This window comes from Homo sapiens, chromosome 4 (assembly GCF_000001405.40).
Source record: "Homo sapiens chromosome 4, GRCh38.p14 Primary Assembly".
Classification (NCBI taxonomy): Eukaryota; Metazoa; Chordata; class Mammalia; order Primates; family Hominidae; genus Homo; species Homo sapiens.
In genome coordinates, this window is record NC_000004.12 from 132,994,342 (window position 1) to 133,012,044 (window position 17,703).

Here is a 17,703-nt window from a genome sequence, read left to right on the forward strand (position 1 = left end):
ATTATCTCAATCCCTGAAACTGCTGTAAGAAAATTGCATAAGCCTGGTCACTTAATAGAAGCAAATGTAAATCATTCCTGGAGAGTGTCAAAGATAAATCTGGACACTAGTTAGAGTAGTAAGAATAGATTTTACTCAGTACTATACTATTTTAATCAGTAATATGTTATAAGGAAAAGAATCTAGTGTGAACTGAAGTCAAGTTCAATTTGTACTTAAGTGACTTCGCATTTTATAGGAACAATGAGAAAATAGGAAGTGAGGCAAGCAAAGGATTAGTAGAGGTAAGAGAATGAAAACTTCTAAAAATTGGGAAGGAGGGGTGTAGGTTCATGTGAAATCCACTGGCATTTGTTAATTGGAGCTTATGGAAGTCAGACTCCTGCCCCTCCAGGGACTGGAAGACAGGGGCCCTATCCTCAGGTCTTGGCTAGAACAAACAATAAACTCTTTCGGCAGCCTTGAATTTTCTCTGGCATGCACTTTAAGGGGGAGCTATGATTATCCTAAGAACTCAGCCTTCAGCTGTTAGAAATTACATTAGTGTTTTTTTCAAGTCTTAATAGATCAATTCTGAGGCCTCAGAAGGGACCTTAGAGGACTCAGAGGAGCCTGGCTAGAATTTGGTCAAGGAGATAATCTTTGACAAAAGATAGTAACATTCCAAGTTTCAAATTTATCTCATAATTTTTCATATAAAATTTTCATAATTCAAGAAAGAACAAAATATATGGTGATAAGATAATGAGAATACTAAGGGAAAAACAAATAATAAAAACAGACCTCAAGAGATCTATGCAATGAGATTATAAGATGTAGAATTTAAAATATTTGAATAGATCTGAGGTATAGATAGTGCAATTTAATAAAAAATATAAGATAAAAATATTTAAAAAGAAAGAACAATATTTTCATTGTTTGCAAATAGTGTGAGTATATAAGAAACCTGGTAATCTCCAAACAAATACTACTTAAATAATGAGTATAAAAAGTAGACCAAAATAAATATCCACAATTTTTACATGAGTTTTAAAACACTATTTTTTAAATGCATTATTTACAATAGGCACACACACAGTAAGAATGTTAATCAACTATTTTTTAGAAAGCAGTAACTATATTATTAAAACAAAATCTTAATTTGTTTTATAAAAACATACATATATAATAATAATATGATCTGATTGTGAAATGACAAGTAAAATTATTTTCTCAGTGTAATAATAGGTAACACTAATAGCTATTTGTGCCATTAACAATTCTTCTGAGAAATAGATTTACATATCCAATGTGACTTGACAACTTAATTTGAATATATAATAATATTTCAAAGTTAATATGGCCAAAATAAAGATATTGAATTCTTCTTCCTATCACAAGGTGAAGATGTATTATGCCTGAAGACTAAGGAGTTTTGAGGAACAGTGATTTGAAATAACGTTGTCAAACTTTCATTAAAGATTGAGACCATCTTCTAGAATTCAGTACCAAGGATAAGAAAAAAAGGAACTAAAACTCCTTCTATATGCCATGGGGAATCTAGAAGCTTACTCCTTGTTTGTTGATTGACCAGAACAAAAAAAGAAACTAAACTATAATCTTTTGAATGATAAGATAAATATTAACATGTAAGTCAAGCAATATTTTTGTCCTTAGCATTGTTCTGTATATACATACCTAATAATTGCAATAATTTTATAAGCTATGAATTTACAACTGTTCACCAAGGAGCTACTTATAGATATGAACTCGATTTTACACTATTGAACACAATTATTAATACTTCCTTGCACATTACATCTTTTTAATCAAAATAATTCCAAAGCTGGTTCAACAAATATTTAGTAAATGTCTATCACTTGCCAGGCACTTTCCTGTGCTCTGATACTATGGCGGTTAAATAATAATAATAAATTAGATATTTATCTGCCAACATGGTTTCATGGGTTCAAAGTCTAAAAGGCAAAACATGTCATTTCAAAAATGTGTCCACTTATCCTTTTATAATAATAAATTAGGACATGGGCTATGAAGAAAATGAATAGAGTCCTGGGCTAGGAACAATATAGGATGAAGAAGAAAAGTATTAAAATAATTTTCTAGTCAGACACTAGTCAGAGACTCTCTGGAGCAGAAATAAGCAGAAATCTGGAGGAAAATTATACTTAAATATGAGGGAATGACATATGCAAAGGTATTCTGCTGAGGAAGGGGCTGGTGTGTCTGAGGAAATTATGGCCCACATAGGTAAAATATAGGAATCTGGGGAGAATGTTGAAACTGAAGACTATGCAGAGACTTTGTAGAACATGGCGAAGAGTTTAAATTTTGTTTCAAGATCAGTTTGAATTTTATTCATGTTCCATAGAACCTCATTGAAGAATTTTAAGCAGACAAGATAAAAATATCTAATTAGCTTTTTTAATGAGATTGCTCTCTCTATTGCAGGGAGAAAGGATAAGAGCTGGGACAGAGCAGAGAAGGTTCTGTCAAAAGTTATCCCAACATTATAGGAAATTTGCAGATAGTGGCTTGGGGTAGGTCTGTGCAGTGGGGATAAATAAATGTGGATATATTCTGAATGGATTTTATTTTGTGCTGCAACAAAATTAACTGGACATCTCAGATTCACAGTTCTTTGCATCTTCTACCTTGGAAATACCTTGCTTTATGTGTTTCTGAAGGTCGCACATTTTCCTTTACTAGAAGCCAGCAGTTTACATTTTAGGGATATTGTAACAAAAGTTTGAATGTGAAATGTAGGTTACACTGCATGATTTCTAAATTTAAATTCAACTTGAAATTCTACTTTTTTGATAAGAAAGGACAATTTATTAATGGGGGGAAGTCTTAAAGTAAGATGTGTTTCTTAGATTATAAAGGTCATTTTCATCTCAGAACATTTTTCTTAGGAATGTAGATTAAGATACTGGTAAAAGAACTCTGGTTGGAGAAACTTGATCCCAGAACATTAGACATAAGTCAGAGATGGCTCCTTATATTTATTGGGCAAGAGAAACTGCCATCAGACAAAGTATGTTTAATCCAGTAATTAGGTCCATACTGGGTAGAAGTGCTTGACTATATCCACACTACACCACTTCCGCTTGTTTGGATTAAGTCTTGGGTCTGAAGATAACCTTCAAAGCAGGAGTCAGAAATTGTGTCTTCTAAAATTAATGATGTGTATAGAGTAGTTTTGAACAGACTTCAATTAACCAAGTCAATGATTATCTTTGTTTTGTGTTGTTATATCAAAATACCACAGACTGGGTCATTTATTAAAAAAAGAAATTTATGGCCAGGTGTGGTGGCTCACACCTGTAATCCCAACACTTTTGGTGGGGGGGGTCAAGGCAGGATGATGGCTTCAGGACGGGAGTTTGAGACAAGTCTGAGCAGCATAGCAAGACCCCATCTCTACCTCCTCAAAAAATGTATTTTAATTATCCAGGCATGGTGACTCAGATCTATAGTCCCAGCTACTTGGAAGGCTGAGGTAGGAGGATAGCTTGGGCCCAGGAGTTTGAGATTGTTGTGAGCTATGTTGTGGCACTGTACTCCAGTCCGGGTGACAGAGTGAGACTCTATCTCTTAAATAATAAAGGAAGATATTTCTTACAGTTCTGGAGGCTGGGAAGTCCAATATCAAAGTGCCAAAATCTGGCAAGGGCCTTCATGCTGCATCAGATCATAGCAGAAGGCTTGCAAAGATAAGAGAGCATGTGAGCAGGAAAGCAAGTGGGGAATGAAATCCCTTTTACAACACATCTACTCCTGTGATAACTAACTCACTCCCTCAATAAAGACAAACTCTTTCATTAATGCAGAAACCTCATAACCTTATCATGTCTTATTAAGCCCCACTTTCAAATGCTGTTGCATTGGAAATTAAGTTTCCAACACATGAACCTTTGGGGATACCTTCAAACCACAGTATACTGCCCTTGGTTCCCAAAATTCACATCCTTCTCACAATGCAAAATATGTTCATTCCATTCCAATAGTCTCAGAAGTCTTAACTCATTCCAGCATCAATATACAAGTCCAAAGGCCAGAGTCATGTCTAAGCTAGATATGGGTGAGACTTAAGTCATAATTCATCCTAAAATAAATTTCTCTTCAGCTATGAACCTGTGAAATTAACAAGATATGTGCTCCCAATATACAATGGTGGGACAAGCATAAAATAGACATTCCTATTCATAAAGGGAGAAATACACAAGAAGAAAGCAGTCCCTAATAAGTCCAAAGCCCAATGGGGAAAACAACGTTAAGTCTTAAGGCTGGAAAATAATCTTTTTTGACTCTGTATCCTATATTCTAGTGGGGTGAGGATTGGGCCACAAAACCTTTCACAGTCCTGCCTTTATGGGTTTGCTGAACACAGGCCACACTGTATCTCTCACAGTTTAGTGTCTTCTGCCTGCAGCTCCCTCAGATTGGTTTTGCACACTGGTAACTCTACAGTTCTGGTGTCTTGGGGTGGCCCTGATTCTGTGGATCTACTAAACATTGCCTTAGTGGGGACTTTCCACAGTGGCTCCTTTCCTGTGAGAAGTCTCTGCCTGGCCCGAGACTATCCACAACATCCTTTAAAATCTAGGTGGAAGAAGTCATGCCTACACAAATCTTGCATTCTCTGCACCTGCAGAATTAGCACCAGAGAAAACCAAACCCATGAAGACCAAGATGGCCAAAAAGACACCTAAGCCACTGAATGATTGGGAAGTGAGACTGAAAGTTTCTTACCAAGATTAAGACTTTCTAAACCACCTTGTAAAACAAACAAAAATAAACAAACAAACAAAAACACCTGTTTGTAACTTGCTCTTCAAAAATCTCTTGACAGGATGCCAAGTAGAAAAGAAACTTACTCTTAATATATATTTGAGATATAATTAATAATTTGGCTCAAAAAAACTAATAGCAGGAGTTCTTAGTTTTATTTCCATTATACAAAGAACTTTGAAGACACCACTCCATTCCTTATGGAACAATCATAGCTGAACAAACTAAAAATCAATAATGTTTCTAATATCCATCAGATAATTGACGTAGCAGGACGAACTGCTTTCCTGAAATCTGGAGAAACAAGCGAACCTAAAGTAATAGTCAAGATCTCTTTACATGGAGCAGAAGCCACTGGAACCAAATGAATAGTAGTTTTGATAAGTAATTGGTGGGTGAGTGTGGGCTACATTGAATATGAGAAAATTCTAGGGGCTGTAGCCTTCAGAGGACCCCTCACTTTCATAAGATTTATGTTCAACCCACCATGGCGAAGATGCGAGAAAGATCTCCCCATGACTATAGAAGGGGGACAAAAGGAGTAATCCTTGTGAATTAACACCATGACATTAACAAAGGCCTACTATCCTGAAGAAGACTGTACCAGAGTTTTCTAGAGCCTTAATAGAAGGTCATTCTTTCCACCCTAGCCCCCACCAGCATTCCTATATCAGATAAGAAGGGAAAAAAGATACACAAGAAAAAAAACTTACACAGGTCACAGGCCAGAGACACAACGCACAAAAGACTGAGATAAATTTTAAGGTTATAAAAAGCCTTCCTCCCTCACGTGTTAACATTACACCACCAGAGCTCATGTATTTAATAATAGTGGGTAACAGCTGAAAAAGTTGCAAGATACAGACTCTTTCTAATAAGGAATACTTAAGAAGGCCAAAGTCACGAGGAGTGGCAAAAAGAACAGCAGAAAAATTTAAAGCCTCTGCCATGTAAATTGCAGAGACCAAGAAACAAAGCCCAACTTCTAGTTAAATTAACACAAATTCTCACGTTAGAGAAACATTATACTTTGTTTCTGTTATCTGATGAACATACGTGGTTTCTGGCAAAAACCACAAGTCATGCTCTAGGCCCTGAGGAAAAAGCCTGAAGAGAGAAAACAAAGATAAGAACCTGACTCAGATTTGACACAGATGTTGAAGTTATCAGACAGACAACCTAAAAATAACTATAGTTAATATGCTAAGGGCTGTCATAGAAAAAGTTTACTATTATAAGAAAGAACAGATGGGTAATGTGAGTCAAGAAATGGAAATTTTAAGAAAGAATCAACAGAAAATTCTACACATGAAAAGCATTGTAAGAAAATTTAGAATGTCTTAGATGGATGCATATTAGACTGGAAATGACCAAGGAAAGAATCAGTGACCTTGATGATATGTCAGTAAAAAGTGCCCAGAATAAAATGTAAAAAGAAAAAAAATGAAAAAACAGAACATAACATCAAAGAATGACAGAACGATTTTTAAAACTGCAATATAGACATAACTGATATAAAAACAGAGAAAGAAAGAAAAATAAAATGCAAGAAATACTTGAAGCAGTAATGGCTGTGAACTTTATAAAATTAATGAAAGACATCTAACCACAGATCTCATGTTCTCATATTGCTTAGTACTACTATTCCTCCCCAACTCCAGAAGCAAGTGCTTATTGAGAAAAAGAAGAAGCCAAATTTAACAATTATTTGATTGGTTGCAGTTATAAAGTTGCTTTTTTTGTTGTTTTTCACCTTACTCAAGTCTCTAGTTATGTAAGTATAAGACTGTTGGCTCCTTCTGATTGGATGAGCTTAAGTTCTGTTTTACTTTTCCTTTGCTTTTTAAAAAATCTTAATTAAATATATTTTACTTAAAATAGCAGTTAATGTCATACCAACATCTTGTTAGTTGAGAAATTGTATGCTTTTTATAAACATAATTAAAACCTTATAAAATTCAGAGTACTACTATTCTTAGTACCACTGTTCCTGCAGCTAAACAACTCATTCTTCCTAGTGCACACCATAAAAGAGTATAGAAAAAATACAATAAGTTAGATAAAATGAAAAACTGTAAGTGTTCAATTAATCCAAGCAATGACAGAAAAGGAAGATAAGGAGACAGAGAACAGAGGCAATAATTATGAAACATGTAGCAAAAGTAGCTGAATTTTAAAGACAGTAATTAAATTGTATGACATGGACTGCATGTTTTTAAAAAGGACATAACTTGTAAGACTTAAAAATAAAAGCAATATGCAACATGCTTTCAATAGATGCATTTTAAAATATAAAGTCATGGAAAAGTTCAGATAACATAATGGAAAAAGATACAGCATGAAAAATATAAACTCAAAAAGTTAATGTGGCCATATTAGCATTAGACAAACCAAACTGCAGTACAAGGAGTATTGCCAGAGATAAAAAAGGGCACTTCATAAAGATAAAATGGTCAATTTAATTTTTCTAAATATATACTAAATGACAGAGCATCAAAATTCATGAAAGCAAAATTGGCAGCACTAAAGAAAGAAAAGTATACATTTGTAATAATAGTGAAGAATTTGACATCCTTCTCTCAATAATTGATAAGGCAAGTAGACAAAAATATATTATTGTAGAAGATTTGAACAACACAATCAACTAAATTAGTCTAATTAATATTTACAGATCACCATAGAGCTATAATATATGCAAATTATTAACTGAATACATTTCAAAGTTTTGAAATCATACATAGTATCTACTATTAGCCCAACAAAATTAAATTAGATACATAAAAAAGATACATAGTTATTCCCTAAAATACTTAGTAATAAAGCAATATTCTCCTAACTAGAACTACTGGTTAAAAAAATAAATTACAAGGGAAAATAGAAATTATTTCCAGTTGAATGACAATTAAAGTACAATACATCAAAATTATTAGGGGATAAAATTAAATATTTGCGTGGAGGAAAATGTATAGCTTTAAAGGCTTACATTATTTTTTAAAAAAAGGGAAAGTATAAAATCTGTGAGCTAAATTTTCCACTTAAAAGCCAGATGAGCAAATTAAAGAAGCCAGAAAACTATATTAAAAAAATTTAAGAACAAATTAGTTTTTAGAAGAAAGAAAAGAATAGCAAAAATCAATGAAATAGAATTCAAATTAGTAAAAGACAGAGTTGGTTATTTAAAAAGATTAATGGAATTGATAGACAAATAACAAGACTGATCAAGAAAAAGACATTAACATTTTTAGCAACAGAAATTAAAACATGATCATTACAGTTTCTATACATATTAAATATATAATGAATTCATAACTATAAACAGCATTAGTAAGTTTTGATAATATTTGGGATTTAGAAGATCATTTTCTTGGAAAATACAGGTTACCAAAACTATCAAAAGACAAAATATAAGCTTTGAATACCCCTATATTGTTTTTTTAATTTATAATTTAAAATCTTTCCACAAAAATTCCAAGCCCAGATTGCTCAATTAGTAAATTATTTCAAATATTTAAGTAAAATCATTGATTAATTAGAAGAGAAGTGAATGCTTCCTAAAGCATCTAATCCAGCTTTCAAAAATTTCCAAAAACATTACTGATAAAGTTATAGATTAATATCATTCATGGATTTAAATTGAAAAATTCTCAAGAAATATCAGCAAATTGAAGCCAGTAATACATAAAATATAACACTACGAGGAGAACTAACTCCAGGAATGTCAGCTTGGTTTAACATTTGAAAATCAACCAATGTAAATCAACACATTAAAAAGCTAGCAAAAAAATACACCATCTATGTAAATGAAGAAAAAAAACTTGCCAAAAATTATATATGCATTCTGGATAAAAACTCTCAGCAAATTGGAAGTATAAAATTAATTTCTCATCATTAATGGTAAAGTGGTGAAGTTTTAAATGTTCCTCCCCTATGAAAAGGCAAAATGGTAAATTTAACATGGCCCTTGAGGACTTTATTCAAAAATGTGATAAAAAAGAATATTTATGAAAATTGAAAATAAAAGAAATGCAACTGTTTGCAAAAAATAGTTATTGTAAAGAATTAATAATACAACAAAGCTAATAGAATTGTAAGTTAATATAGTAGAAAACAGGCTGCAAAGTTAATAACCTAGATTTTTTTTTTTTTTTTTTGAGACAGGGTCTTGCTCTGTCACCAGGCTGGAGTACAGTGGTGTGACCTCTGCTCACTGCAACCTCCGCCGCCCGGAGAACACGCGGTGTTTGGTTTTCTGTTCCTGCATACACAATTGCAGGAGTTGAGAAATGAGAACACATGGACAGAGGGAGGACAACAACACAAGCATTTAGCAGAAATGACCCAAGTTTAGTTTCATTTATGTCTGTAGTCTTAAGCAACGTCAAGGCTATTTTTAAGGCCTAGGCATATTATACTTAAAATTCTTTAAAACAATTATAGGAGAAAATCTTAGAAGTAGTCAGAGAAAAAATATATATGTAAGAGAAAAGATAAAGAAGATAGTAGATTGGAAGCAATGCAAGTGAGAAAACAAAAGAGAAAAATCTTTAATGTAATGCAAAAGAAAGAAAACTGTCAACATGGAATTTTATATTCAGTGAAAATGTCTTTCAAAAGAGAAAGTAAAATACAGACTTTTTAGACATGCAGAAGCTGAAATAAGTTTTCACCTGAAGACTTGTGCCATAAGACATTTTAAAGAAGTTAATTCTTGTAAGGCAAAAGAAAAATGACATTAGATGGAAATATGGATTTACACTATACAAATAAATGAAGAGCAATGGAAATGGTAATTCTAGGGGAAATATCAAAGATTTTTCTTTTTATTTAAATCAATTCAAAAGATAATTGTTTAAATATGTGGGATACAAAACATTAACACACATATATAAATATATATGTAACACACCTATATTAACATATTTGTTAACACACACATATATTAACATATATAAACACACATATATTAACATTTGCATGTTAACACATACATTAACATATATATGTTAATACACATATAAACATGTATGTTAACACATATACATATGTATATATTGACATATATGTCAATATATGTGTTAATATGTCACTATGTATGTGTGCATATGTTAACATATATGTACATATATATGTAACTTGTATGACAATAGTGTCATAAATGCCAGGAAGGAAGAAATGGAAAATTTCTTCTATGATAAGATTGTTGTACTATAAATGAAATACTATAATATCAATTGGAGTTAGGCTGCATTAAATTAATGATGAATATGATAAATCCAAAAGAAACCAATAAAAAAAAAGAACTATACATAATAAACCAACAAAGGAGATAAAATGAAATCATAAAATTTATTAATCAAAAAATGTAGAAAAAAGTAAAAAGAGAACAAAGAGCATTTATGGCAAATAGAATCCAAAAGGAAGGTCATAGTCTTAGTGCTAATATAAATAGACACATTATATGCAAGTGTTCCACATAGTACAAATAAATAAGAAAAATAGTCCAAAAAAAATTGATAAAAAAATTGAATAAAAATAAAAACAAGAGAGACCTAACTATACTTATTACAAAAAAGCTAACTTTAAATAACCAGACATTTATTATTAATAAATAATAATAAGACATTGAAAAGGAAATAAGGAAAAAAAATACCATCCTAACTGTAGGTAGAAGACTTGTTAGAGAATAAAAAATCAAGCCACAGGATGGGATAAAAATATTCATAATGAAGATATCTGAACAGGACTTGTATTGGAATATATTAAAGATTCTCAAAACTTAATAATAAAACAAAAAAATTAAACAAATAAAATTTTTCCACAGATACTTCATTAAAGAGAATACATAAAGAGATGAAAAGTATATGTAAAGATTCTCAGTATTACTCAGGAAAAGCTAAGTTAAATTAAAACCACAATATATACCACTATACTTCTATTAGAATGGCTATAAAGACTGTCTATACCAAATGATAGTATGAATGTGTTGGAATTGGAAATGTTATACACCACTGGTGGGAATGTAAAATGGTACAAGCAATTTAGAAAATGGTTTGACAGTTTCTTAAAGTGTTAAACAGATGTCTACCATAAAATCCAGATGAATGAAAGCATACATTCATAACAAATACTTGTGCACAAGTGCTCATAGCAGTTTTACTTGTAATAACTTTAAACTGGAAATGGCTCATATGGCAATCAGCAGATAAAAATATAAATTATGTAATATCTACATAATGAAAGACTTCTCAGCAATTAAAAAAGATTTAACTATTGATACATAATAACATGGATGAATCTCAAAATGATTATGCTGAGTACAAGAAGTCAGAAAGAATAATGTGTGATTTCATTTACATAAATCTTTAGAAACGGCAAACCAACATAGTACAGAAAGATGAACAGTGTTGTCCTGGGGAGGTGGAAGGATAAGGAAGCAGGGAGGGGTGGGATTACAGGAGACATGAGGCAGTATGGAGATGATGCATGTTCACCTTCTTGATTATGGTGAGGATACCTTTTGTATAGACATGTATCAAAATTAGCCAATGATGCTTGTTAATTGTGTTTATTAACATCAATTTTACCTGTATAAAGCTGTAATATTTTTTTAAAAGTATAACAACAGATGGGAAGTGAGAATGTTGGTAGGTAGTAGGGAGTCTATATTTTTTAGACTATAGAAAATTGAATTCCTAATTAAAATTACAACTCTAAACTCTGCACCAGACGAAGTTCATATTACAAGATAACTCACTGAAACTTTTAAAGTACAGATAATCCCCACAGTCTTTCCACATTTCTGGCACATATTCAAAGACCCACTGATTTTAAATATTTTTAATTTAATTTTTAAAATGATGTTAGATTTACAGAAGAGTTGCAAAGATATTACAGATATTTTCTGTGTACTTCTCATCCCAGCTTTCCCTCATATTAACATTTTATGTAACCAGGGCACATTTGTCAAAACTAAGAGGTCAATAATGGCACAATATTGTAAATGAAACTACGAACTTAATCTGGATTTCACCAGTTTTTCCAATAATATATTTTTTCTTGTTCCAAGTTTCAATTAAGGGGCCCACATTATATTCAGTTTCCATTGTTCCTTTGACACTTCTAATCTGTGATGGTTTCTCAGTCTTTCCTTATTTTTCATGACATAGAAACTGAAGCGTGCTGTTCATGAATTTTGTAATGTGTTCCACAATTTTGGTTATTTCAATGCTTTCTCGTTATTCAACTGGAGTAATGAATTGTGGAGCAATACCACAGAGGTAAATTTTTTTTCATCATATCTTATCAAGGAGAACATGATATTATGGCTTTCTACTGGTGGTATTTATTTATTTATTTTATTTTATTTTATTTTATTTTATTTTATTTTATTTTATTTTATTTTATTATTTCTTTGAGGTGGAGTCTTGCTCTGTCGCCCAGGCTGGAGTGTAGTGGCGCGATCTCCGCTCACTGCAAGCCCCGCCCCCCGGGTTCACGCCATTCTCCAGATTCAGCCTCCTGAGGAGCTGGGATTACAGGCGCCCGCCATTACGCCTGGCTAATTTTTTGTAGTTTTAGTAGAGACGGGGTTTCACCGGGTTAGCCAGGATGGTCTCGATCTCCTGACCTCGTGATCCGCCTGCTTCGGCCTCCCAAAGTGCTGGGATTACAGGCGTGAGCCATCTACTGGTGATACTAACTTTCATCACTTGGATAAGGTAACATAACCCGGGTTTATATACTATAGATCTCCTCCTTCCTTGGTAATTAATAAATATTATGTGGCGTTACATGGAGACTACGCAAATATTCTGTTTGCCTGAAACTTTTACCCACTAATTTTAACATTCATGGTGGATTGTGCATTTATGCCTGTGGCATTCTAATGGTGATTTTCTGTTTTCCTCATTTATTTCACATTTTAAAAATGGATTTATTCTGTAAGAGTTGTCATCTTCCATATATTATTTATTCAGTCATTTCTTTATATCAGTATGCACTCATGGATATTTATTTTTTCTTTAGTCTAAAGCCAATACTATTTTTATTTATACTTGTCTTCAAACTGTTTGAGCGTTGACCACTTGGGGCTTTTTCAAATTGTCTCTTTCAAACTGTCTCTTGTGTATCATTCCCACCAGCATTCACCATTCCCGGCGCCAGTCCTGGCCACTTAGTATCTTAGAGGGGTAGTTTTATGCACGCTTGTTTTCACTAGGTGAGAACCAAACATCTCTGGAGTTCCTTCCTGGTCCTGCTCATTATTTCAGAGGGGTAGATTTTTAAAAAACAAAACAAAACAAAACAACAAAAACAAATTGTCTCCTGTGTACTTTTGATATGCTCTCATCTTTGTGTTTTAGTTGTTGTTAGCCTTCCTTACCTTCTGCCACGATGAGTTGTTTCAGGGTCCTCTTGGCTTTTACCTTTTCCAGACTTGGAATAAATTGTGAACTACTTTTCCAAGGAGCCCTGTCTCTTTTACCGAATAGTGGTAGTTAGGAACTATTTTCCTAGTGCTAGGTACGCTCTTTATTACCGGAGTGTCATCAGTTGTAGGCCCACTCCACCGACAGAATGTGGAAATAAATGTTATCTGTACTAGCTCATGTTTATATATATTTGTGTATTTATTTATTTATTAATCTGTGTTTATATATAATGTATATATATGCACATCACATATATGAATAATGTCAAACATACACACACCCCAAAATAAAGCAAAATGTGAGTTCATACTGATATATCTGATCAGTCCACAGGGGTTAATACCACAGGGTTCATTCCATTATTACCCTTTTGCTCCTTTGAAACTTCTTTTTCCAACTAAATAAAAAATTGGTTTGTATTATCTACAATACATTTACATATTTGCTGAAACCTCGTATATGTGTAGTTTCAGAATTGCTAATACATATCCCTGTGTGAAACAAACTTGTTTACTAGAGTAGTAAACAATTGCTTCCCAATTCGTGAATTGGTGTTTGCTCAAATTAACTCTATGATTTTATTGTTGTGTCAGTTTTTCTTTTAACAATAGAAAGTGCTGACCTGAGAAATATAATCCCAGTGAGAGAGGGGAGTGGACCTTTTTTACAGGAGAAAATACACAGGAAGAGGCAGGTAAGAATTGAGACAGAGAAAAGTAAAAACAGAATTAACTGATTATAATTCACATTCCAGATTCACTTGATTTCTTGTTTCCTGTCCTCCTATTCTAGGGGATATCTGAACACTGAAGAACTAACAATGTTAACACTCTGCTCCCCTTTTCTTAAGTAGCTCAATGAATTTCCATTATTTGTAACCAAAAGAACCTCAACTAGAACAAGGAACATGGAATTCAAAGAACCTAGTCTGTTAAAAAGTCTGTTTCTGCACTTCCTCAAGATCCTAATAAGAAATGCAAAAATAAAAACAAACTTTGGGCCAGGCGCAGTGGCTCACACCTGTAATCCCAGCACTTTGAGAGGCTAAGGTGGGCAAATCACCTGAGGTCAGGAGTTCAAGATCAGCCTGGCCAACATGGTGAAACCTCATCTCTACTAAAAATGTGAAAATTAGCTGAGTGTAGTGGTGTACTCCTGTAACCCCAGCTCCTTGGGAGGCTGAGGCAGGAGAATCGCTTGAGCCCAGGAGGTGGAGGTTGCAGTGAGCTGAGATCACGCCACTACACTCCAGCCTGGGGGACAGAACGAGATTCTGTCTCAAAAAATAAAATAAAATAAAATAAAAACTTAGTGAAACAAATGCAAAGTATTTCACCGATATGTATTTTAACAAATATTATCAAATGATCTCAGAGAACCCTTTACTTTTAGAAATGTAAATGTATTCAACTATACACGTGTTAAACATATTTTATAATGACATATGATATTGACTCATAAATATATATTATCAAATGCCTAAGACATACAAAAGGACATATTTATAAATTTATTGTTTTAACTATGAAACAAGAACATTTAATTGAAGGAAAGAAATTTGCTTTGATCTTAATGATAATCATAATAAATTTGATTTATGTAGTGAATTATATTTCTTCCTGTCAAACTACAACACAGAATACTCCTTGTTCTTAGCAATTCTTCATTATAAGTTTTTGAAAATAATAACTGAGATTAAGAAGGGTTGAGAATAAAAATAATGCATTTTCAACAGATTAATTTTAATTATTAAATAAAAATTTAAGTCTTTATATATAGGTAAAAATTGGTTTGAAATGGCTCTTATTTTTATATCATATATAATGACATTGTAATACTAAATCAAAATATTCATTTAGATTTTTAAATGTTCATGGTAGAGCATATTAAATGTAGTGACCAACCTCACAGTAATAAAACACCTTCTTAAGGAACAAAAGATAGCTAACTAAATTTTGTATGTTTCTGTTTTTTTTTTTTTTTTTTTTTTTTGAGACGGAGTCTCTCTATGTCACCCAGGCTGGAGTGCAGTGGCACGATCTCGGCTCACTGCAACCTCCACCTCCCTGGTTCAATTCCCCTGCCTCAGCCTCGTGAGTAGCTGGGATTACAGGTGCACACCACCACATCCAGCTAATTTTTTGTATCTTTAATAGAGACAAGGTTTCACCATGTTGGCCAGATTGGTCTCGAACTCCTGACCTGAGGCAATCTGCCTGCCTCAGCCTCCCAAAATGCTGGGATTACAGGTATGAGCCACCATGCCCAGCCATTTTGTATGTTTATTAGAAAAATTTAAAGTAAAAAAAAAGTATTATAAGATGGATTATACCTACACATATATATAATTTTCATTAATAAGTGAGGTAGTAAGGTAAGTATGAAAACACCTTAAAAGGAAAACCGAGGCATAAAGATGAAAAAAAGTTTTAAGGTCACAATAAAAGTCAGTGCCCATACTAGAACCAATGATCTTCCTAATGTTCACCTAGGGCTTCATCTTCTACCCCAGTTTCCTTCCACAAAGCCCAACAACTGTTTAATTCTATTGCAATGGTAAAGGGTAAAATTGAGGGGAGGGAGTACTTCTCCAAGAGTCTCATTCTATTTGTGTGTGTTGTGTGTGTGTGTGTGTCTGTGTGTTTCATGTGCTGTTAAATGCTAATATTCTGTGTTAGCGCAGGAGATATGTGATGGAGTTTATACAAAAAAAGATAATTTGCAAGTCATACATACTATATTTTGATTAAAATGTTGCTGACATGCTTTTTTGAAAAGGCCTTTTCTAAACTCTCTACACACTTCCACTGGAACTCCAGTACAGTTTCTGCATCATGGAATACAGAAGGAACATACAGTGAGGCAAGATAGTGTGTTGAGAATTATAGTAAATAACTAAGTGAGCCCACTAGAAGGATACAATTTCTTTGGGTAAGACATGAAGATAAATAAATGGAAACTGGATATCTTTAGTACCTAACAAAGTTTCCAGCATACAGTAAGTACTCAATAAATACTTTTAAAGGATCATAAAAGTTTTTAGAAAAGGATAAAACTTTTTAGAGAAGCCAGGTAATTATTTTGTTTGATCCTTTGTGTTGGAATAAAAATAATGAATTAAAGTGGAAAAAAAGATAAAATCCATCTCAGCAAATTTATAGGAACCAATTCCTGGAACACTTTATCTATTTACTTATTCCCATCCACATAGATTAAGCTATATATATATACACACATATATATATATATACATATACATATATACACATATATACACATATATATACACATATATATACACATATATACACACATATATATACATATATACACACATATATACATATATACACATATATATACATATATACATATATATACATATATATACACATATATATACATATATACACATATATACATATATATACACATATATATACATATATATACACACATATATATACATATATATATCTTCACAGCAATGAGATAATCAAGTGCTTTATAAAATTCCTTATTAGTCAGTGAGATTAATACTCATCTTAATTTTACTTATAAACATTTACTTATAAACTGCCTTAACATTTGTGAAATATGTGATATTATGTGACTTGCAATAATGAATAAATCATTTTCATTGATTTAATAAAGACAGTATTTTCCAAGCAAATAGGACAATGGAGTAGATTGGTTATAATGTCTTCATCATCACTATCAGTCACAAATGCATGTGATATTGGTCTATTTGCATACGATGTTTTGCTGGGCACTTCTAACACCTTCTTCAGTGAATAAATCAGCAGCAAGATGACAATAGTCTTCTGGAAAGCAATCAAACTTTAAAACAATATTGAAATACATGGTTAGGCAAGAAAAATGTTTGCCTTAAAAGTTCCGGATATTATGGGAAGTCAATGTAGATATTCAAGATTAAGTTCAATATAAAATTGTGCACTATATTTTGAGAGTGATACTTAGCACCGAGCTTTTACTCTTCTAAAGTGCTTTTGCATTTACTAGAAACAAATTAGAGCAGGGAGATAACTTTTTTCAAAATATTACACTTATTTGAATCTCATTTATACAGAGCTTTGAATTTGGCAAAATAATTCAATGCAAATCTTTCCAGTAATATGTCTTTTATCAAAGCTCTGAGATTTATTTCCAATTTTTCCACAAACAAGTCCCTTCTTTACTATCTCCATTTTCTATTTTAGTATGTCAAATAGCAAAATGAAAAATAGAAAGGAAATAGCATTAATCTGTCATGGCACTAAATACTAGTCCCAATTTTGCTTCCCCCAATCTTAAGGGGCAAAATGTGGCTGGGTGGACAATAATTTTTATCTTCTCAATATACGGTATTTTTGTGTAGTTCACCATAAATCAGTCTCAAACTTAACAGGACACTTTAAAGACGCATCTCCTAATGTTCTTACTCAGTTCCATTATATTTTACAGGTTCATTATAAGCTAA